This window comes from Homo sapiens, chromosome 1 (genome assembly GCF_000001405.40).
Source record: "Homo sapiens chromosome 1, GRCh38.p14 Primary Assembly".
NCBI lineage: Eukaryota > Metazoa > Chordata > Mammalia > Primates > Hominidae > Homo > Homo sapiens.
This window is the reverse complement of record NC_000001.11, coordinates 171,721,323-171,746,009: the sequence shown is the minus strand read 5'-3', so window position 1 is coordinate 171,746,009 and position 24,687 is coordinate 171,721,323. Positions and strand designations below refer to the sequence as shown.

At 39.3% G+C, this 24,687-nt stretch overlaps 1 protein-coding gene across 4 annotated transcripts in view; it reads left to right on the top strand.

Annotated features, from left to right (window-relative positions):
• Positions 1 to 3,944: 3,944 nt before the first annotated feature.
• The window catches only part of VAMP4 (vesicle associated membrane protein 4), a 41,906-nt gene continuing 21,163 nt past the window's right edge, over positions 3,945 to 24,687 (top strand). For all 4 annotated transcript variants that reach the window (NR_033704.2, NM_001185127.2, NM_003762.5 and 1 more), the window contains exons 1-3: positions 3,945 to 4,100; positions 7,547 to 7,661; positions 17,440 to 17,486. Coding sequence is in view for 3 of the 4 variants with exons in the window: in NM_001185127.2 (NP_001172056.1) it covers positions 7,596 to 7,661; positions 17,440 to 17,486 (113 nt within the window). In the remaining variant the exon portion in view is untranslated. The remainder of the gene's footprint in view (positions 4,101 to 7,546; positions 7,662 to 17,439; positions 17,487 to 24,687) is intronic.

The following is a 24,687-nucleotide window of genomic DNA, read 5'->3' as shown; positions in this document are numbered from 1 at the left end:
CAAATCTAGTCACACTGGAAGTTAAGACTTCAACATATGAATTTTGAGGGGACATAATTCAGTCCATAACACTTTCCATGCCAGATTCACAGTCCTCCTGGTGTGTGTGTGTGTGTGTGTGTGTGTGTGTGTGTGATGCTCAAATGGAAGTAGAGTCTACACACTATTTTGCACCTTACTTTTCTCACCTTATAGCATCATAGAGGTATTCCATGTCAGCACATATAGATCTATCTAGTTCATTTTAATGGCTGCATACTATTCTATTGAATGGCTAGACTATGACTCATTTCAGCAATTTCCTATTGCTGAACATTTAGAGTTTTTTTTTTCACTCTGTTACAAAAATCCTGTAACAGATATTTTTATAGAATACTTTTATATACAACCTGTATACCCATGGGATAAATTTTAGAAGTAAAATTATTAGATCAAAAAGAACTTCATATAAAATTTTGATACATATAATTACCATGAAATTTTTAAAAATGCACCAATTTTTATACTCTTACTGTTTAAGAATGCTTGTTCCTCCCACGCTGCTCCCATACCACACATACACACACCCAATATTGTAGTATCAAATTTTTTTTATTTTTGCTATTGAGCTAACACAAAAGATCAAACTGTCAAATCAGGCTCAAATCAGAGATTTTACTCAGTATCAAGCTTTACTAATAGTTTCAAGGATACCAGTAATCCCCAGGTCCTTTCTTCTTGCTTTGGATGCATCCTGGCCCAGGACAGTAGATGTGGTTTCTAAATCAAGTGTACAGTCACCCCACTTACACAGAAGGAGCCAAATCAGTTACAAAACACTTCCATTTTATGCTACGTTACATAACTTCCGCGGTATTTTCCAGTTAATCATACCCCTGAAATCCGCATTGATTCTTTTTTGTTTTGTGAGAGGGAGTCTCATTCTGTTGACCAGGATGGAGGGCGGTGGCGCGATCTCTGCTCACTGCAACCTCCGCATCTCCAGTGCAAGCTATTCTTCTGCCTCAGCCTCCTGAGTAGCTGGTGTTACAAGTGTACACCACCACACTCAGCTAATTTTTGTAGTTTTGGTAGAGACGGGGTTTTGCCATGTTGGCCAGGCTGGTAACTCCTGACCTCAAGTGATCCACCTGCCTCAGCCTCCCAAAGTGCTGGAATTACCACATCGATTCTTAATGTGTTTACCATAAACAATCCCAGCCCTGGGACATCCTGTTAGAGGAATTCCGTAAATATGGACTCTCTTGCTAGCAAATGCCATTAGTTTGTTTGCCAGGAGGTCTGTAATTAGTATATACTTTATATTTTATAAAAATCACATGCTTTTTTGCTTGCTTTAACCTTGCTTTCCTGAGAGTATTTCCCTACGAAGGGAGAGACTGGATTGCAGATCTTCTGCTCAACTCCTTCTTTCTCAGTCACTGATAGATGAAAAATGGTATTTCCTTGTTCACTTTTACATTTTAAGTAATGTTGAACATTTAGCAACAAAATATTGAAAGCTAGAAGGGAGATGAATCAAGATGCAATTGCCTTAGCAGACTTGAAAAGTAGGAATCCCAAGCAGGCCATGAAGCAACCTGATACACACAGTGAAACCCTGTATAAGGCTCAGGAATTGGAAACACCACGTAAAGCTGAAGAGAGCATGATGTGAGCTATAAATACAGGCGGAATGGTATAAAGTCTGTTTAAGAATGAATCAGATGCTGAGATTCCCTTTGCTATCCCATCAAAAACCCAGAGATTTAGTCCTGAAAGACAGCAAAACGCTGATTCTCTAGCTAGGAGGACAGCAGGCCCTCTTAAGGATGAAGGTGTCATGTTGAAAAAGGGGAAAAGAAAATTAGAGGACTAACATCTGAATAACTGAAGCTCACTAAAAAGAAAATGGAGGAAATAAGTAACTCAAGTTGCTTGGAGTTCTGACTCTAAGCTCAGTGCTATTATAATCTTTTAGGCTTACTGGTATATTTGATTCATGTTAACTGTAAAATGACATTTTCTAAGTTTCACAAATATTGGGGTTAGTCAAAGGGACTTTGTTCAGGTGATTAAGGGTGGGGCTTGCATTACCCCTCTCCTAAGCGATCATTCCAAAATGACTGGCAGGACTAAAGAATTATGTTTAAAAAACAAAAAAACCCAAAGAATGGATTATCTGTAAAAGCTATGCAATGACGTGCCTGTTAGAGCTCACTGACCACACCTTAAGTTGTCTAAGAGATGAGGCTATAACTAGCTAAACTCTAATTGGCTAAGGCACCAAAGCCAGAAAATAGCCCATAACATGCAAATATACAGACATAAAATCAACTGTAAGTGCTGGGCACAGCTGCTCATGCCTGTAATCCCAGCTACTTGGGAGGCAGAGGCAGGAAGATCACTTTAGCTCAGGAGTTCAGAGCTGCTGTGCGCTATGATTGTGTCACTGCACTCCAGCCTGGGGGAAGAAGTGAGACTTCATCTCAAAAAAAAAAAAAAGATCAGCTGTAGAAGAAAAAATAATGTCAGGGTTACCTGTGGAGTCTGGGGGTAGACCCACTATCACACCTAGACAGGGATACAAACCATGAGAGGCTTCTCTTCTAAGTGGGCCGTTTCAGTCCAAGTTGCTGACTTGGACAGCAACTTGGACTGAATAAACACAGGCAACTGAGTTTAGCATTAAGCTTTCAGAACCTTCAACTGACAACTCAACGGCTGTTTCTAAATCTCAGAACATTTAAATCAGAATCTAGGTAGCACGTGGGCACCTACGTAGTTTTAAAAGCTTTCCAAGTGATTCAACTCCAAGTGAATCAGAGTGGAGCATCGTTGCCTTAGTCATGGCATCTTTCAAATTCGTTAGTACATTTTTACATAAAAATAAACATCAAACAAAAGAAGAACAACTTTTTGGTAAGAGGGTGTCTATTCTTTCCTTTCCTTTAGTGTCCGCAGATCTTTCCTCCTGCTGTTTTCTTGTCTACTCTTGTTCTTGAACACCCCCTCTTATTTTTATGTCTTTAGAAAGTGCCTGGCACAGTATTTCAGACAGTTAAAATACTGTATCAACAAAGGACCCATAGATACTGTATTAATTTTAAAAGATGTGTAGTGAATATGATTCAATGAGTAAAATAATCCAGCTGGGGCGTGGGAGGAACGGATAATAAAACAAATAAGAGAACGGAAAAACAAAATTAGGAATTGTTTCTGGTAGACAGCTACTGCGGGCGTGGAGATCTAAACATGATACCAAATTGGGCGGAGGGGGAGGGAGTGAGGAAGGAATGGGCAGAGTGGCGGAATGGCCTGGCGAGGGCGATTTCCTGAAGGCTTTCAGGTTACAACTAAGGGATACCGGGAAAAGAACACCGAGCCCTCGTCCCGTATCTATCTAAACTAGCCGTGTTAACTTTAAGTCAATCTCCTCTCTGAACCAGATATTCCTCCTATCTAAAGGGAGGAGCCTGGCCTTAACATCTCTTTCCAAGTCTAGCTCTAATTCTGTAAACAGGGGATCAAACAGATCTCCTTTCTTCAGAAAAGGCCCCAGACGAACCCGAAGCAGGTCCTCGAGCTGCGAGCCACTCTCCACTTGCCACTCAACGTAGTCAGCCAGAGGGACGGATGTGCCACCAAGCACCACCTTCTTTCTAACGCCTCATCACCCCAGCCACGCACTCCGGCGCGGCGCCCAGTCCCGAGCGGTTCTCGGAAGTTTCCCACTCCTCCCCTAATCGCCCTCCACGCACGCCGGATCACGACCGGAACGTGGACAACCAGTGGTTGTTCCTCCCCTAAAGCACAGCATAAATTTGGAGAGATGCATCTAAACTGCGTGTGGGTTCGGGCTCTTTTAGGTGAATAGGGCTCGGCGGATCGACTTCCTCGATTATCTCCGTGCCCTGGACCCGCCCCCTCCGCCTGGCGCCAGGCCGCCGAGCGCCGATCGGCTCGATGAGCGGAGGCGCTGCTGCGGCGCTGCGGCCGACGCCGGGTCCGCACCAACTGTCTCCCCCTCCCAGCTTCTTACCTCGGCTTCCTACTCCTTCCCCCGCCCGCCCAGCACCGCCAGCCCGGGAGAGCTGCCGGGAGTTCCCCGGGAGCCTCAGGTACTGGCGCTGGCCTGTTCGCAGCGGGAGGGGCTGGTGTGAGGAGGAAGGAAACGAAGAAGACGCCCCTGCCTTGCCGCCCCCCGACGTCCTAGTCGGGCTGGTCGGCGGGCCTCGGGGATCTAGGAAGGGACCCCGGAGTGGGAAAAGGTTGGGGCCGGGGGTGCCGTGAGGAAGGAAGACGAGGACAGGGGTATGCGGACGAGGAGCAGTTGAGGGAGAGAAGAATTGGAATTGAGGGGTACTCTGGGGTGATGGGAAGAGAACAGTACCATGGATGGGGAAGGTTTGTTAAGAGTGGGATGTAGTGAGGAATTCCAGGGGGTACAATGGGGCAGGAAGGGCCAGCGTTAGGAGCAGATATATCGTGGGACGTGGCCTGGTGTGACAGATTGGGTGTGGGGGGTGAACGGAGCTGCCTGAAATTGTGTATTTAAAGGGCCCGGGGGAAAGAGCGCCAACCCTGCTGTGTTTATAATGACCGGAAGGTGGGGGTGAATCGTTACACTTGACAGGTTTTGCAAATAATATCTCCGGTCTGTGTCCATCCAAGTCACTTTATTTCTGTGAAACTGCATCAAGCAAGAAGGCTGATGACAGACAAGGAAGACGAATCAGAAAGAGAATGGAGGCTGGGAAAAGGAGAGCCTTTGCCCAGATTCAAAGCTATTGACTAGATAACGTACTACTTACAAAAACGCACACATAGACATTTAAGTATATGCTGATGTATAAGAAGCATACGGTGATGTGACTCATTTGAGTGAATTGTATAGTGGTGGTCTATCCTCAATGTGGAAGTACATGATGGCTCTCTTATTTACATGTATACCTAGTCACAAACAGCTGAATTCACATGTCTTTTTTTGTAGGAGAAATCTTAGGCAGACTATATCCTAGTCTACTTTCTGAGCATGATTTATTTCTACTAGTTGTTTGATACACATATCAGTTACTAATAATCAGTTGCAAATAACATCAAAGTTCATCAAGGTAGCTAATTAATCTGCCTACTGCTTTGCTGATGGGCTATTTGTTGCACATGGTTTCTTGGGATTAAGAGACCTGAATATGGTGTTTGCTCATCCTTAAGATTGTAGTTTTACTGTATGTCTTATAAAGGCATTATATAAGTCTGCCCGTTGTTTGCTTTGGGATGTTGAGGCAGCCTCATTGCAGGGGTTAAAATCTAAATACAGATAATAGTTAAAAGCACAAGTTCTTCAGTAATTTGCCTTGTCATCTGTTTTTCCATGCATTCTGTTACATTTCTGCATGAATGAAGTATTCTGACATCAAAGTATGAGGAATAAAAGGGCCAGATGTATGTGACAGAAATATTGTGGAACCAAGAACTCAAGAGCTGTTACTCAGGCAGCAAGAATTTGGTTTTTGTTACAAGTGAATAATTTCTGATTTGGAAGCATTTCTTATCAAAGAAAAGTGTGTCCTTTGGTTTTGACAAGCAGCTGACTTAAAACATTACTTTTATTTGGTTCGTGAAGCCAGATCCTGGGATTATTCTTTTTTAAGTGTATATCATTAACAAACAAACTGATGTCTAACTATACCTAATTTAAAGGTCTAAGTGTTTCTTCTTATGGAAAAGGAAGCAGGACTATTGGGTTGTTAGCAGGAAGTGAGTCTTTCTAGAACAGAATTCTGTAAACCTGATGGGCAACTAATTGAACAAATGATTAAAACTGATAATGCACAGCCATTGATTAATTTAGGCCTGTATCTCTGCTGTTTCAATGAATGTAGTGACTAACGTTATCGTTACTAAACTTTAGTTTTCTCCTAGTTTCTTGGTGCCTACTTTAAAGAAGCATCATAAAGAGTAAAAGAAAATGCATGTGTATCACTGAGCACCGTGCCTAGCACATAGTAAAACATTCAGTATTTCTGAGCTATCCTGAATTGATGGGTATTCATCTACCATCTAGTCAAAAATACTGAAAATTCATTATTTGCATAGAAGAACTTTTTCGCAAAAAAAAATTTTAGTATGTTGCATACACAAGCATTTTCCTGGAAAGTCACAATGCATATTAGCATATAACAGGATGTGAGTCATTCTGTAGCAAAGAAAACTAGCTTTGTTTAATCCAGTTGTTTTGATAGAAAAAAATTGAGTTTCTCCTATTCTCTCTCAACACAGACCCCCAAAAGATTTCTCCTCACAAGCAAGGAGGAAATTCTGCAGCAGATTCTCCAGCTGGGTGTCCTCTAATTCAATTCTGATACTGTATACCTAGAGATAGCATCAGATCCTGCAGGTTGAGGGCTTAATCCTACAAGATTCCCCCCACTTCAGGTGCCAATCACAAGTTCCAGGTTGTTTTACCTGTGTTTCCAACTGACTGGCTATAAATCAGAGTTCCCACAATCCCTTCCTTGTGTTCAGTTTATTTGCTAGAGTGGCTTACAGAATTAAGAGAAACACTTTGTTTACTGGTTTATTATAAAGGATAGAGATCAACAGCCAGATGGAAGAGGTGCATAGGGCAAGGGGTACAGAGCTTCTGTGCCCTCTCCAGGTGTGCCACCGTCCAGGAACTCTCTACTTGTTCAGCTTTTGGGAAGCTCTCTGAACCCTGTCCTTTTTGGGTTTTATGGAGTCTTCCTTAGTAGGCATGATTGATTACATCATTGGCTATTAGAAATCAGTTCAACCTTGAGCCCTCCTCCCCTTCCAGGAAGCTAGGGGGTGGGGCTGTAAAGTCCCAGTCTTCTAATCATGCCTAGGTTTTTCTGTGACCAGCCTCCATCTGGAATCTATCTGGGGGCTAAGCTACCAGTCATCTTATTAGCATACACAAGACACATCACTGCAGCGATTCCAAGGATATGTCAGGAAATGGGGATTAAGACCAAATGAGTATATTTTGTAAATCACGATATCACACCAGTACTTACCAAACTTACCCCTTTTCATGGAGTACCAATGGGACATTATAGTTTGCAGAATATTTTTGCATGTATTATCCAATTTGACCGTCCCAACTCTGCAGAAGCCTGAAAATCAGTATTTTACACCTGAGGAAACTGAATCATTGCTTAAGCAACCAACTAAAAGTGAGAGAAATAGGCATGTTCTCCTGTCTTCTGACTCCAACTTTAAATTGTAAAGCATTTAATGTCTCAGTGAGACGTCCTCCCTCTACTCTCTGCTCTTTCATTTTATAAAAATCTTAAATCACTCATATCCTACACATGTTCTCTTAGGGCAATTACATCCATTTTCTCATAATTTTAACTATTTCTTAGGTGTTGAGGTCTAGCATGGAGGCCCCAGTCACTGGAGTGGAACAAGTGAGAGGGCAGGAATTGAAGTCAGAAAAATGAGGGAGTCCCTGTCATACAGGGTTTCATGTACACTGTTTTAAGTACATTAGCTTATGCCCCAAAGTCTCAAATCTGATGAAATTTATTTTCTCTTTAAGGTGGTGACTATCCTGTTGAGAAGCAAAAGATACTTTGCAAGTAAAAAATATGCCTCCCAAGTTTAAGCGCCACCTCAATGATGATGATGTCACAGGTTCTGTGAAAAGTGAAAGGGTAAGTTCGGAATCTTAAGCTTTAAAAACAAAAGATTCAAAATATGTTTTCATTCCCTTTGTGAATAATAGAAGAAAAACCATCCGGGCGTGGTTGCTCATGCCTGCAATCGCCGCACTTGGGACGCTGAAGCAGAATAGCTTGAGCCCAGAAGTTCAAGACTGTCTTGGACAACCCAGGGAGACCCTGTCTCTATAAATAATTTTTAAAAAATTAATGGGGCATGGTAGCACATGCCTATGGTTCCAGCTATTCAAGAGGCTAAGGCAGGAGGATCACCTGAGCCTGGGAGATGAAGGCTGTGGTGAACTGTGATCTGCACTCCAGCCTGAGCAACAGAGCAAGACCCTGTCTCAAAAATTAATTAACTAATAATAATAACAACAGAAAAATCAAAAGCTTATGACTATATTCTAATCCTAATTGTTTTCTTCATAGCAAATGTATTTAAAAACATGTTACTTAGATTGGTGACAACTGAATTCTACTTCCATTATTGATCAAATCATTATTCTCATAGCTTCTTTCTAGTTTTTGAAAGGGAGTTTTATACAAATACACAATATCTTATTCAGAACTTTGAATGTATTTGGAATTTTTCAGATTTTAGAAAGTTAAGAACATATTATGTAACAGCATTTTTGGGGCCTGGACCAGTGCCTCCAAAAATATTAATATTTCTCAGTGAAGTCTATATTTAGTTATATCTAACTAACTATGTAAATAAAGTGTGTAAATAAACTAGCTAACATCAGTTCAGGTCAAATTTTCCTCCAAAACTTTTTGATTTTCAGAAGCTTTTAGATTTTGGAATTGCAAATAAAGGTCCCCAGACCTGTAATTATCTTATGTTCCAGAGTATCTTTTATATAATGCTTCAATTTCTAGTTTATTCCAGAACATTCTATGCAAATATATATAAATCTAGAAATTATGCCGCATTTAAAAGACAACATTTTATATGAATGTTGTAGGCAGATTACTTTTAGAATAAGTACTCAATACATATTTATTGGGGGAAATAATTCACGTTCTTATTTTTTTAATGCACCATTCTGAAGCCCTCCTTCCTTTCCTTCTTGTCTTGATTCATTCAACAAATATGTATTGACCACCTCCTATGTGCTAGGCACTGGGCTAAAAATTGGAAGACATAGTCTGTGCCCTTGCAAAGCTTTTAGTCTGCTTTGTTTTACATGCTCTTTTTGGACAACCTCAGAACTTCATATTATCCACTCTGTCCACCATCTTATGACTTTTAGTCATAAGTTTCTTTTAGTACAACACAGGAAACATTTTCTTCCCCTTATTCTAACCCTTTGTACAGCTTTTGCGGTTTTGTGTGTTTCTGATGGTTTGTTTTTATTTTTTGAGACCAGGGTCTCGCTCTGTCATTGAGGCTGAAGTGCAGTGGTGCAATCACAGCTCACTGCAGCCTCCACCTTTTGGGCCCAAGCTATCCTCCCACCCCAGCCTCCTGAGTAGCAAAGACTACAGGTGCATGATATCATGCCCAGCTAGTTTTTGTTTTTCTCGTAAAGATGGGGTTTTGCCGTGTTGCCCAGGCTGGTCTCAAATTCCTGAGCTCAAGTAATCCACCTGCCTTGGCCTCCCAAAGTGCTGGGATTACAGACATTTGACACTGCACTCGGCCTGTTTTGTTTTGTTTTGTTTTGTTTTGTTTTGTTTTGTTTTGTTTTTTAATGGGGAAATAGAATCCACCAATAGATTAATTGCTAGCAAGCTTTTACTAATAAACTTTAAGGAGTCACCAATGATTTCCATGTTGCCAAATCCAGTTACTCCTTCTTTGCCATAATTTCAACTGCTTACTAGCATTTGGTGCAGTTTCAACCATTTTGGTCACCTATCTTTTCCTCCATGCCATGGTGAAACTCTTAGTGTCTGCTTGAGCTAGTTCCCCATGCAAGGAATTGAGAAATGCCTTGAAATATACCAAGTCTGGGTGAACCCGGAAGGCTCTGGCCGAGAGAAGGCAGAGGATGATCAGGGATTGAGAAATCACTCAGGGATAATCCAGGGTCTCTTTCTTTAATGTAATATCTTTCAAGATAAACCTCCAAGAAAAAGTGATTCAGAAAATTTGATATACCTGTGCTGGAATTCCATACACTGAAGATTTACTATCAAAAGCATGTCTTGGCCAGGCGTGGTGGCTCGCGCCTGTAATCCCAGCACTTTGGGAGGCCGAGGCGGGCAGATCACTTGAGGTCAGGAATTCAAGACCAGTCTGGCCAACATAGTGAAACCCCATCTCTAGCAGAAGTACAAAAATTAGCCAGGTGCGGTGGTGCACACCTGTAATCCCAGCTACCTGGGAGGCTGAGGCAGGAGAATTGCTTGAATCTGGGAGGCAGAGGTTGCAGTGAGCCGAGATTGTGCCATTGCACTCCAGCTTGGGTGACAGAGTGAAATTCCATCTCAGAAAGAAAAAAAAAGCATGTCTTTACAAAGCAGAAGGTTTGGCGAAATACTAAACCCATTCAGAGAATAAATGTCAATTTGTTAAAGTAAATGATACCAATTGTGAACCTATAAAGGAACCCAGTGTAAAACAACACAGACTTGATATGCATCCAGTAAAAGCTGACTGAAAGCTCCTGATGAATATTCAGTGATCAGCGTGCACAAAGCATGCTGAAATATTTTTTAAATCATCGGTTAGAAGAATCTGAGCCTCTTTCCTATTGCCCCAAGGAAATCTTTAGTCACTTACCCAGAGATGCTTGCAAAGCATTAATATCCTGGAAGATGATCAATAAATGCTGACAGTTGATTGACTGATATCTGAGATATGTCAGGTAAATACCTCAGTCCTGGACAGAGAGCCCCTAAGTCACATCTGCCTTTGTGTAAGATGAAGACTGAAGTATGGAAATGTATGTAGTAAAATCACCTCTCGGAACTTGTTTGTAATTCATACAATCTATGTCAATTTTGAAAAATGTATGTAAAGCAGAGAAGGTTGTAGCCAAATTCAATGTATAGTATGCAAGAGTATATTATTTAATAATTTTTAATTGATGCAAATCCCATTAATTTTATAGTTTTATTTTTACATGATTTTAAACTGAAACTATTTATATTTCCTAAGTTCCCCTGTGTTTCTTTCTCACAATCACTGCTGAACGTAAATTTGTTGTTCACTTAATGGAATCACTGTTAAGGACACAGTCACTTGAATATGATTGCTTTTTAAAAATCAAGTCCAGGCGTGATATACTAGGATCACAGTTTCATGGCATGTTGGTCATAATCCTGAGAAAATAGTGACAAAATTATTATTTGTAGATATTAAATACCAGTTTAATAATATGTGTGGAAATCAGATTAAATAGTACATAAAGCCCACCCTAATAACAAGGGCAGGAAAAATTACTTCAAGAAAAACAATAGTAAACCTTAAATTAAAAATAATACAAATAAATAAGCTTTATGAATACATTTTTAAATTTAAAATGTATTGTCTCAATAAATTCCACTGCTGAGACTGTAATTGTATCACTTTCTCCTTATATTCTTCATTGATTATTAGTATATTAGACACCAGAACTGAATAAAATTGACTGTTTCAAGAGAACTCCTTTTTGATGTTTATTATATTATGAAGTTTGATAACTGATTGGTTAGAATAATATATAAATTACTTTTAAAATCTTTTAAAAGTTTTGTTCCTCTTTCCTATTATACTTTTTTGGTAATAGCTTTATTGAGATAAAAGTCACGTACCATACAATTCACCCACTTAAAGTGTACAATTCAGTGAGTTTTATTATATTCACAGAGTTGTGCAACAATCACCACAATCAATTTTAGGATATTTTCATTAGCCCAAAAAGAAATGCTGTGCCCTTTTGCAGTCATCTCCCATTTTCTTTATCCCCTCAGCCTCTAAGCAACTGCACTCCTATAGATTTGTCTATTCTGGACGTTTTCTGTAAATGGAATCATATAACATATAGCCTTTTGTGACTGGCTTCTTTGACTTAGCATAATGTTTTTAAGATTCCTCAACGTTATAGTGCATATCAGTGCTTCATTTTTTTTTTTTTTTTTTTTTGAGACGGAGTCTCCCTCTGTTGCCCAGGCTGGAGTCCAATGGTGCGATCTCGGCTCACTGCAACCTCCACCTCCTGGGTTCAAGTGATTTTCGTGCCTCAGCCTCCCAAGTAGCTGGGATTACAGGCGTACACCACCACGCCCAGCTAATTTTTGTATTTTTAGTAGAGATGGGGTTCCACCATGTTGGCCAGGCTAGTCTCGAACTCCTGACCTCAGGTGATTCACCCACCTCGGCCTCCCAAAGTGCTGGGAGATCTTCATTCCTTTTTATTGCTAATAATATTCCCTTATATTGATATAACACATTTGGTTTGCCCATTTATCAGTTCATAGATGTTTGGGTTTTTTTCTACTTTTGGCTATTTTAAATACTACTGCTATGAGCATTAGCATACCAGTTTTTGTTTGAGCATGTTTTTATTTCTCTTTGGTGTATACCTAAAGGTAGAATTGCTGAGTATTGTAGTAACTCTCTGTTCAGCCTTCTGAAGAACTGCCCAGCTGTTTTCCAAAGTGGTTGTACAATTTTTACATTCTCACCGGCAATGTATGATGATTCTAATTTCTCCACATCCTCACCAACACTTAATATTATCTGCCTAGTGGGTATGAAATATTATCTCATTGTGTCCTATTATTCTTTTTTGACACTGTATCCCTAGCACTTGTGTTTATTCAATTAATATATGAAAAAGCATTGGTTTTCATGTGTGTTTCTCAGTGTACAATTATAGTAAACATATCTTTAGTATCATTATCCTCTAAACCAAATAAATTATTACTATTACTATTATCATTATTATTTTGAGACAGGGTCTGGCTTTGTCACCCAGGCTGGAATGCAGTGGCACGATCAGGGTTCTGCAGCCTCCTCCTGGGCTCAAGCAATCCCCCCAAGTAGCCTTCAGAGTAGCTGGTATTACAGGCATACACCACCACGCCTAATTTTTTTTTTTTTTTTTTTTTTTTTTGTAGAGATGGGGTTTCACCGTATTGCCCAGGCTGGTTTCGAACTCCGGGGCTCAAGTGATCCTCCCTCCTCATCTTCCCAAAGTGCCAGGGTTACAGGCGTGAGCCACCATGCCCGGCCATAAACCAAATACATTATATTATAAATGTAATGCTTGTCTGTTACTTGTTAGCTAGAATATTACTCAAGAAATATTTATTTAAAAAATGACCTAATGCATTTCCTTGAATATTAATTGGTTTTGAACATTTCATGTGGTCATTGGCCATTTCTTCTATTGGGAATTATCTATTTCTATTCTTTGTTTTTCTATAATGTCTCTTTTTCTTACTAGTTTGTCAAAGCTTTTTATATAATACAGACATCAGGTCTTTTGTCTTAAAGGATACTGCAGATGTTTTTTCCCAGTCTGTTGCTTGTTTTTTAACCTTGTTTTTGATGTCTTATGTTCAAGTTTTAAATTTTTATATAATCAAATATGTTAATCTTTTTCTTTCAGACTTCTGGAGTTGTGTGTTGTTTAGGAATAACTTACCCATCTTAAGAGTTAACTATTTATATATTTTCAATCTTTGTGATTTCATAACAAAATATGTCTAAGGTCCCATTTTCCTTTAAGTACTGCTGTGGCCATACTCTTCAGATTTTGACCTGTGATCTTCCCAGTGTCTTTCATTTCAAAATAGTCTAATCACCTTTATTTACATTTAACATAAAAGTTAATGAGAAGGATGTTTTTTGTTTTTTGTGAGGTTTTTTGCTACAGGGTCTCCTTTTGTCACCCAGGTTGGAGTGCAGTGGCATGATCATAGCTCACTCTAACCTCAAATTCCTGGGCTTAAAAGATCCTCCCATATCAGCCTGCTGAATAGCTAGGACTACAGGCATGAGCCACCATGCCTGGCTAATTAAATTTTTTTTTTTTTTTTTTTTTTCCCATAGAGACACGGTCTTGCTATGTTGCCAGTGCTGGTCTTGAACTCCTGGGCTCAAGTGATCCCCCCACTTTGGCCTCCCAAAGTGCTGGGATTACAGGTGTGAGCCACTGCACCCAGCTGAGAAGAGTATTTTAAAACTTCCTTTTTCCATCGCATTATGGTCAGAGAATATGACTTGTGTAATTTCTATTTTTTGGAATTTATTAAATGTCCTTTGTGGCTTACCCATAAAGGAAAATAAAATAAAATTTGCTGTCTAGTTTCAAAGTTCTAGATTTTTTTGTGTGTTTGGCTTCTCCATCTCTGAAGGGTATGTTAAATCCTCCCTATGATTTTGATGTAACTGTTTCTCATAATTTGCGCAGCTTCTGTAAGATACTTTAAGCTATATTATTAGGTATTTAAACATTCGTTGCTATTAAATCTTCTTGATGGATTGTATATTTTATTATTGTAAAATCATCTTATTTGATTGTTTAATACTTTGTCCTAAAATTCCTCTTTATATTGCTAACTGTAACATTCTTTTTGTTAGAATTTGCTGATGTTTCTTTTCTACCCCTGCTTTTCCCCATCCTTTATTTGGTATTTGTTTTAGGTGAATTTCTTGCAAACAGATATTGGCTAGAATTTTTTTGAACCCTAATCACATATAGTTTTTGTTATTAAATAGGGACATTCAAACCAGTCACATTTATTGTGAATAACTAATACACTTGGACTTTTTCTGTGCCAGCCATCTAGTCCTGCAGCAATGAATGCTCTTCACCCTGATCTTTGGCTGGCTCTTTGTTATTTGGATCTCAGCTTAAATTTCACCTCTTCAGAGTGATTTTTTATGACAGCCTAATCTCATGTAGTCACCCCATCACTTTCTGTCCCATCACTGTTTTAATTCTCTGCATAGCATTTGTTGCAATCCTGTTTTTTTTATTATTATTATTATACTTTAAGTTTTAGGGTACGTGTGCACAACGTGCAGGTTAGTTACATATGTATACATGTGCCATGTTGGTGTGCTGCACCCATTAACTTGTCATTTAACATTAGGTATATCTCCTAATGCTATCACTCCCCCTTCTCCCCACCCCACAACAGGCCCCGGTGTGTGATGTTCCCCTTCCTGTGTCCATGTGTTCTCATTGTTCAATTGCAATCCTGTTTTTCTGTGAGAGCTCAGATTTGTTTTGTTCAAAACCGCTGCTTAGTACTTAGAACAGTGCACATAGAAGCACGTAAAAGATACACAAAAATACTTGTTAAATGAATATTGAATACATCCTTCTTCTTCTTCTTTTTTTGTTTTTTTGTATTTTTAGTAGAGACAGAGTTTCACCATGTTAGCCAGGATGGTCTCGATCTCCTAACCTCGTGATCCACCCGCCTGGGCCTCCCAAAGTGCTGGGATTACAGGCGTGAGCCACTGCGCCCAGCCGAATACATCCTTCTTTCATTTTTTTACTCTTTAGTATATGTCATATATTATACATAGATATAGTGATATTCATTGTATTTCTTATATTTTCCTTTTCCCTTATGCCTTTTCTTATGGTAGATTCCCTTATGCCTTCCCTTATGCTAGATTGATTATTTTTACTCATCTCCCTCCTTGCCCCCAGAACCACCATATCTAAACCACAGTTTAGATACTTTACTCCCTTCCCCCTCCTTCCCTCTCTCTTTTGTTACTAACTTTATATTTTAATGGTAGTGTTAATCTGTGTTCTCTGTCAACATACCAAAAACTAAGGCCCTTCCATTGTTTTACTTTTTAATTCTAGTCCTGTTCCCCCTTCCTCCATTCCACTCCTCATCAAGATGAGCATATTGGCAATGCTTTCACTTCTTCACTTCACTCTCCCACTCCCAGCTTCTGGGCTTTGTTGGAAAAGTTTTAGATTCTTTTTAAGCTTTTCTATATAATATGTATTTTTTTCAAAAGCTTTAACTTATTGTTTACAGTCACATTATCATCAACTATTTAGATTTGACCACACATTGTATTAGATTCATTGATTGTATCATCCATCTCAGTCTTAAGGTCTTTGTTTTGATTTCATTTTCTTTTTGGCTGGTGTAATTCCTTGAGGAATTTCCTCAGGAAAAGTACATGGGTAGTGTATTAGTTTCCCATTGCTACTGCTACAAATTACCACACACTTAAAACAACACAAATTTATTGTCTTATGGTTCTGGTGACCAGAAGTCTAAAATGAGCTTATAGGGCTAAAATCAAGGTGCCAGTAGGGCTATGTTCTTTCTGGAGGCTTTAGGGAAGAAACTGTTTTCTTGCTTTTCCTAGCTCCTAGAGGCTGTTTACCTTTTTAGGCTCATACCCCTTCCTGTGTCTTCAAAACCATTAGTGTAATGTCTGTCTGTCTCTGTCTGTCTGTCTCTCTCTCTCTCCCTCACTCTGCATGGGGCCCATATGAATAATTCATAATGATCTTTTCTTCTCAAGATCCGTGATCACATCTGCAAAGTCCCTTTTACCATGCAAGGTAACACATTCACAGGTTTTGGTGACTGTATTAGCCAGGTGTGGTGGCATGCGCCTGTAGTCCCAGCTACTTAGGAGGCTAAGGCGGGAGAATCACTTGAACCCGGGAGGTGGAGGTTGCAGTGAGCCGAGATTGCACCACTGCACTCCAGCCTGTGCAGCAGAGCAAGACTCCATCTCAAACCAAACAAACAAAAAACAGGTTTTTGTGATTAGGAAATGAACATCTTTGGGGAGCTATTATTCTGCCTATAGCAAGTGGTACAGTTTGAGCATCCCTAATCTGAAAATCCAAAATGCTCCCAAATCTGAAACTTTTTTAAGTACCAGCATGATGCCACAATGGAAAATTCCACACCTGACCTCATGTTGCAGTCAAAACGCAGTCAAAACTTTGTTTCATGCACAAAGGTATTAAAAAATATTGTGTGAAATTACCCTTAGGCTATGTATATAAGCTATATTTGAAACTCAAGGTCTTTATGAAGCATAATGAATTTTGTGTTGAGACTTCGGTCCCATCCCCAAGATGTTTCCTTATATATATGCAAATATTCTAAAATCCAAAATTTGAAATACTTCTGGTCCCAAGCATTTAGGATAAGGGATTCTTAACTTGTATACTGTTTGAGTTCTTGTGTGTCTGAAAAGGTCTGGGTTTTGCTCTTCTTTAGTCACCTTTTGGACTTTATACCCACCCCTTTTGGGGAGAAGGTGAGACTGTCCTCATTTTAAGGAAAATTGTTGTATGTTATAAAAGTCTAAAGTTGCTTTTGTTTGGAAGTTCAAATTTGTTTAGGGGGCTGTTTGTGGGTAGAGTAGCTAAAAAGTAGAACATGCCCATTTTTAAGCCCTTGTCCTCAGCTCCAAACTCCCTCTATACTCTTCTCTGATGCTGCAGTTGGAATCCACAAACTGTATTTCTTCTTTCCACCTGGTTCCCTAAGTTCTGCCAGTAGACAGACACTGGCAGTCAGAAGGAAGGAGAGGGGACTTGCTCCCTCCTGACTACCTGCAGTTCCTCACTCCCATACCAGCTTCAGTGACCTTTCTACCTTTTTTAGTCAGTTATAGGATTCTATAATTATGAGCATTTTCTTTGCAAAGTCTATAAATGTTGTCCCACATCTTTTAGCTTCCAGTGAAGGATATGTAATTACTTTTCCCTCTTTATGGACACCTGGAGTTAAGAAATTTCACTAGTATAGGACTTATTTCATTACTCCTCTGTGACATTTTATAAGCCCTCTGAATCTGAAAACTCAAGTCTTTTTCTTTTTTTGACAGAGAAATCTTTTGGAAGATGATTCAGATGAAGAAGAGGACTTTTTTCTGTAAGTTTTTTTTTACAGCTTTATTAGGGTGTAATTGACATACAATACATGCATATATCTAAAATATACTGTATACATTTTGACAGATATGCAGTAGTCTCCCTTATACGTGAGAGATGCCTTCCAAGATCCCCCAGTGGATATGTGAAAACACAGAGAGTAGCACGTTGTGACATAACGTTAGGTACTATTGACCTCTGATGATATGTCAGAAGGAGAATCATCTATTTCAGGTGACCTTGGATCATGAAGCCAAGAAGATGTTGATAACTAAAGGGCTGGGTAGTATATACAATGTGGATATGCAGGACAAAGGGGTGATTCACATTTCAGGTGGGACAAAGCGGGGCAATGTGAGGTTTCATCATGCTACTCAGAATGGTGCACAATTTAAAACTTATGAATTGTTTATTTCTGGAATTTTCCATTTAATATTTTCAGACCGCAGTTGACCATGGGTAACTGAAACTGTGGAAAGCAAAACCATGGGTGAGAGAGAGCTTACTGTACCGTGTACCTGTGACATCATCACCAAAATCAAATAATGAACCATCTGTCGCCCTGCAAGTTTCCTCATAACCCTTGATAATCCATTGCTCTCCCAGTCCCTAGGCAACCAGTGCTCTGCTTTCTGTCACTGTAGTTTGTATTTCTAAAATTTTTTATAAATGAAATCATGCAGTATGCCCCCTTTTTAAAACCTGGCTTTATTCAGCATGGTTTTTGAGATTCATCCATGTGTTAATAGTTGGGTTTTTTAATTTTCTGAGTAGTATTCCATTGTATGATGCTGCAGTTCGTTTATGCATTCACTTATGTGTGGATTTTTGGGTTGTTTCTACTTTTTGGCTTTTACATATAAAGCTGTTATAAACATTTGTGTGCAGGTTTTTGTGTGGATATATGCTATTATTTCTCTTGGAAATAAAAATACCTAGGAGTAGAATGGTTGGTGTAAGTTTACAATTGTTTTCCAAAGTGGTTGCACCATTTTATATTGTCACCAGCATTGTATGAGAATTCCAGTTGCTCCATATCCTCGTCATTACATATGGTCAGTCTTTTTCAGCCTCTTTCATTCTAGCCATTCTAGTGGATGTGTAGTGGTATCTTGTTGTGGTTTTAATTTGCATTTCCTTAATGACATATGATGTTGAACATCTAGTAGTGTGCTTATTTTTCGTCCTCTTACCTTCTTTGGTGAAGTATGTGTTCAAATCTTGCCCATTTTAAAATTTTTCTCATTGAGTTGTGTTTTTTTGGCTTTTTTTTTTTTTTTTTTTGAGACAAGGTATTACTTTTGCCCAGGTTGGTAGAGTGTCCTGGCGCAGTCTTGGCTCACCACAGCTTCAAACTACTGGGCTCAAATGATCTTCTCGCCTCAGCCTCCCAAGTAGCTGGGACTACGGGTGTGTGCCATCACACCCAACTAATTATTATATTTATTTATATTTTGCAGAGATGAGGTCTCACTTTGTTTCCCAGGCTGGTCTCAAACTCCTGGCCTCAACTGATCCTCCCACCTCAGCCTTCCAAAGTGCTGGGATTACAAGGATGAGCCACTGTGCCTGGCCAAGAGTTTTTATATATTCAAGATACAAGTTTTCTGTCAGATATGTGTTCTGAAAATATTTACTACAAATCTATAACTTAACCCTTTCATTTTGTAATAATATCTTTTGAAGATTAAAATTTTGATTTTGATGGCATCAGTTTATTGAATTTTTTTTCCTATTGTTTTTGCTATTTTTTTCATATATAAGAAATCTTTCCCAAACTCAAGGTCACTAAGATTTTTACCTGTACTTTCTTCTAGGAGTTTTATAGTTTTGACTTTTATATTTAGGCCTACAATCCCTTTTTAAGTTAATTTTTGTATATATTTGAGGTAAGGATGAAACTGGGGGAATATGGCCATCCAACTGTTTCATTGTAATTTGATAAAAAGATCATCCTTTCCCCACTGAATTACCTTGGTATCTCATAAAAAATTAGTTGACCTGATCAATCCTTTGTAGTTATGATTAGAAAGAGCTCTCAGACAGGTCTAGGTTTATATTTGGCAAGTCAGGAAGGACAACATTGTTGTGGGAGTTTTCTCTGGGGATTGATGTAGAAGGTTATATGCCTGAGAGGAAACATTTACCTCTTACCTTGTTAAAATACTGTGACTTGGCTGGGTGCAGTGGCTCACGCCTGTAATCCCACCTCTTTGGGAGGCCGAGGCGGGCGGATCACAAGGTCAGGAGTTCAAGACCAGCCTGGCCAACATAGTGAAACCCCGTCTCCACTAAAAATACAAAAATTAGCCAGGCATGGTGGCACATGCCTATAGACCCAGCTACTTGGGAGACTGAGGCAGGAGAATCGCTTGAACCCAGGAGTTGGAGGTTGCAGTGAGCCAAGATTGCACCACTGCACTCCAGCTTGGGCAACAGAGTGATACTTCGCCCCCCCCAAAAAAAAATGTGACTTTTTTTGTTGAGGCTGGGTTTTTTTCCAAGTGAAAACATTTTATAAAAATTAACGGAAACCTGGCCAGGCACAGTGGCTCACGCCTGTAATCCCAGCACTTTGGGAGACCGAGGCAGGTGGATCACCTGAGGTCAGGAGTTCGAGACCAGCCTGGCCAACACAGTGAAACGTCTCTGCTGAAAATACAAAAATTAGCCAGTCCTGGTGGTGTGCACCTGTAATCCCAGCAACTCAGGGGGTTAAGGCAGGAGAAACACTTGAACCTGGGAGGCGGAGGTTGCAGTGAGCCAAGATCACGCCACTGCATTCTAGCCTGGGCGACAGAGAAAGACTCCATCTAAAAAAAAAAAAAATTAATGGAAACCCGAGAAGCAGTGAAGAAAGAGCTTACAGGATAGATAGCAGCAAATCCAGTAACAGAAAATAGTATCATTTTTGGCAGAATGTCAGATAATGTGGGGAGATAATTTTCTATGGGTGACAAGATTGCTATAGAGTCACAAAGTGAATTGCCTACAATGCTACTTGTGGTGAAAAGCCTTAGACTAGAGCAATAGCTACCCCTCAAAAAGGAACTCATTTTTTTTAATTGTTTGCTGATTGATTGATTGACTGAGACAGGGTCTCATTATGTTGGCCAGGCTGGTCTTGAACTCCTGACCTCAAGTGATTCTCCTGCCTCAGGTCCCCTACCAGAGTAGCTAGAATTAATAGCACAAGCCTCTACACCCAGGAACTCACTATTGAATACATAAATGGAATTTATTCAGCCTTAAAAAGTTTGGAAGGAAATTCTGACATATGCTAAAACATGGATGAACCTTGAAGACTTTATGATAAGTAAAAGAAGCCAGTCATAAAAGGAAAAATATTGCATGATTCCACTTATATGAGGTACCTAGAGTAGTCAATTTCATAGAAACACAAAATAGAATGGTGTTTGCCAGGGCTTTTGAGGAAAAGGGAATGACAAGTTAGGGGACAGAGTTTCAGTTTTGAAAGATGAAAAAGTTCTAGAGATGAATGGTGATGACAGTTCATTAAGTGAATTACTTAATGCCACAGAACTGTATGCTTAAAAACGGTTAAAATAGTAAATATATGTTATATATATTTACCACAATAAAAATTTATTGACTATATATGTGTGGCTCTATTTCTGGACTCTATGTGTCTTTCTTACATCAATACCATAGTAATCACTATCCTGAGTACTACGACTTTATAGTAAGTTGTGAGGTAGTGTAGTGTATATCCTTCAACTTTGCACTGCCTTTTGAAAGTTCTTTTGGCTATTGGAGGCTCTAAGCATTTTCATATAAATTTTAGAATCATCTTGTCAGTTTCCAGCAAGCCTGCTAGAATTTTGGTTGAGATTATATTGAACCTATAGATGAATTTGGGGATAATTAACATCTTAACAATATTTGGTTTTCTGACCCATGAGCATAGTATATCTTTTTATTTATTTGGGTACTTAATTTCTCTCAGCAGTGTTTTGTAGTTTTCAGTGTCCAGATGTTGTATTTTTTTCTTTGTCAAATTGATCCTTAAGTATTTTCTTTTATTTTTTATTATTATACTTTAAGTTCTAGGGTACATGTGCACAGTGTGCAGGTTTGTTACATATGTATGCATGTGCCATGTTGGTGTGCTGCACCAGTTAACTCATCATTTACATTAGATATATCTCCTAATGCTATCCCTCCTCCCTCCCCCCACCCCATGACAGGACCCGGTGTGTGATGTTCCCCACCCTGTGTCCAAGTGTTCTCATTGTTCAGTTCCCACCTATGAGTGAGAACATGCGGTGTTTGGTTGTCTGTCTTTGCGATAGTTTGCTCAGAATGATGGTTTCCAGCTTCATCCATGTCCCTACAAAGGACATGAACTCATCCTTTTTTATGGCTGCGTAGTATTCCATGGTGTATATGTGCCACATTTTCTTAATCCAGTCTGTCACTGATGGACATTTGGGTTGGTTCCAAGTCTTTGCTATTGTGAATAGTGCCACAATAAACATATGTGTGCATGTGTCTTTATAGCAGCATGATTTATAATCCGTTGTGGGAAGTCAGCGACCCCGAATGGAGGGACTGGCTGAAGCCATGGCAGAAGAGCATAAATTGTGAAGATTTCATGGACATTTATTGGTTCCCCAATTTAATACTTTTATAATTTCTTACACCTGTCTTTATTGCAATCTCTGAACATAAATTGTGAAGATTTCATGGACATTTATCACTTCCCCAGTCAATACTCTTGTGATTTCCTGTGCCTGTCTTTACTTTAATCTCTTAATCCCGTCATCTTCGTAAGCTGAGGATGTATGTCGCCTCAGGACCCTGTGATGATTGCATTAACTGCACAAATTGTTTGTAAAGCATGTGTGTTTAAACAATATGAAATCTGGTCACCTTGAAAAAAGAACAGGATAACAGCGATGTTCAGGGAACAAGGGAGATAACCATTAGGTCTGACTGCCTGAAAGCTGGGCAGAACAGAGCCATATTTCTCTTCTTACAAAAGCAAATAGGAGAAATATCACTGAATTCTTTTTCTCAGCAAGGAACAGTCCTGAGAAAGAGAATGCATTCCTAGGGGAGGTTTCTAAAATGGCTGCTCTGGGAATGTGTGTCTTATATGTTGCAGATAAGGGATGAAATAAGCCCTGGTCTCCCAGGCCTATTAGAACGAGGAAATTCCTGCCCAGTAAATTTTAGTCAGACCAGTTGTCTGCTCTCAAACCCTGTCTCCTGATAAGATGTTATCAATGACAGTGCGTGCCCGAAACTTCATTAGCAATTTTAATTTTGCCCCAGTCGTGTGATCTTGCTCTGCCCCCATTTGCCTTGTGATATTTTATTGCCTTGTGAAGCATGTGATCTCTATAATCCACACCCTATTAGTACACTCCCTCCCCTTTGAAAATCACAACAAAATCTTGCTGGTTTTGCGGCGTAGGGGGGCATCACAGAACCTGCCGACACGTGATGTCTCCCCCAGACACACAGTTTTAAAATTTCTCTCTTTTGTAGTCTTTCCCTTTATTACTCAGACCAGCCGACACTTAGGGAAAATAGAAAAGGTCCTATGTTGAATTATCGGGGGTGGTTCCCTTGATATAATCCTTTGGGTATATGCCCAGTAATGGGATGGCTGGGTCAAATGGTATTTCTAGTTCTAGATCCCTGAGGAATCGCACACTGACTTCCACAATGGTTGAACTAGTTTACACTCCCATCAACAGTGTAAAAGCGTTCCTGTTTCTCCACATCCTCTCCAGCACCTGTTGTTTCCTGACTTTTTAATGATCGCCATTCTAACTGGTGTGAGATGGTATCTTATTGTGGTTTTGATTTGCATTTCTCTGATGGTCAGTGATGATGAGCATTTTTTCATGTGTCTGTTGGCTGCATAAATGTCTTCTTTTGAGAAGTGTCTGTTCATATCCTTCGCCCACTTTTTGATGGGGTTGTTTGATTTTTTCTTGTAAATTTCTTTACGTTCTTTGTAGATTCTGGATACTAGCCCTTTGTCAGATGGGTAGATTGTAAAAATTTTCTCCCATTCTGTAGGTTGCCTGTTCACTCTGATGGTAGTTTCTTTTGCTGTGCAGAAGCTCTTTAGTTTAATGAGATCCCATTTGTCAATTTTGGCTTTTGTTGACATTGCTTTTGGTGTTTTATTCATGAAATCCTTGCCCATGCCTATGTCCTGAATGATATTGCCTAGGTTTTCTTCTAGGGTTTTTATGGTTTTAGGTTTAACATTTAAGTCTTTAATCCATCTTGAATTAATTTTTGTATAAGGTGTAAGGAAGGGATCCAGTTTCAGCTTTCTACATATGGCTAGCCAGTTTTCCCAGCACCATTTATTAAATAGGGATTCCTTTCCCTATTTCTTGTTTTTGTCAGGTTTGTCAAAGATCAGATGGTTGTAGATGTCTGGTATTATTTCTGAGGGCACTATTCTGTTCCATTGGTCTATATCTCTGTTTTGGTACCAGTACCATGCTGTTTTGGTTACTGTAGCCTTGTAGTATAGTTTGAAGTCAGGTAGCGTGACGCCTCCAACTTTGTTCTTTTGGCTTAGGATTGTCTTGGCAATGTGGGCTCTTTTTTGGTTCCATATGAACTTTAAAGTAGTTTTTTCCAATTCTGTGAAGAAAGTCATTGGTAGCTTGATGGGGATGGCACTGAATCTATAAATTACCTTGGGCAGTATGGCCATTTTCACAATATTGATTCTTCCTATCCATGAGCATGGAATGTTCTTCCATTTGTTTGTGTCCTCTTTTATTTCGTTGAGCAGTGGTTTGTAGTTCTCCTTGAAGAGGTCCTTCACATCCATTGTAAGTTGGATGCCTAGGTATTTTATTCTCTTTGAAGCAATTGTGAATGGGAGTTCACTCATGATTTGGCTTTCTGTTTGTCTGTTATTGGTGTATAGGAATGCTTGTGATTTTTGCACATTGATTTTCATAATTTCTGATGCTACTAAAAATGACATTTCAGATGGTGTTTCAAAATTTTAAAATGTCATACTTATTGCTAGTATAAATATCATTTTGTAAATTAACCTTGTATTCTACAATCTTGCCAAACCCACTTAGTTTTAGTAGTGTTTTTATATATCCTACTGGATTTTCAACATAGAACAATTATGCTTTCTGCAAATAAAGACAGTTTTATTTCCTCCTCGTCTATGTTTGCCTTTTATTTTT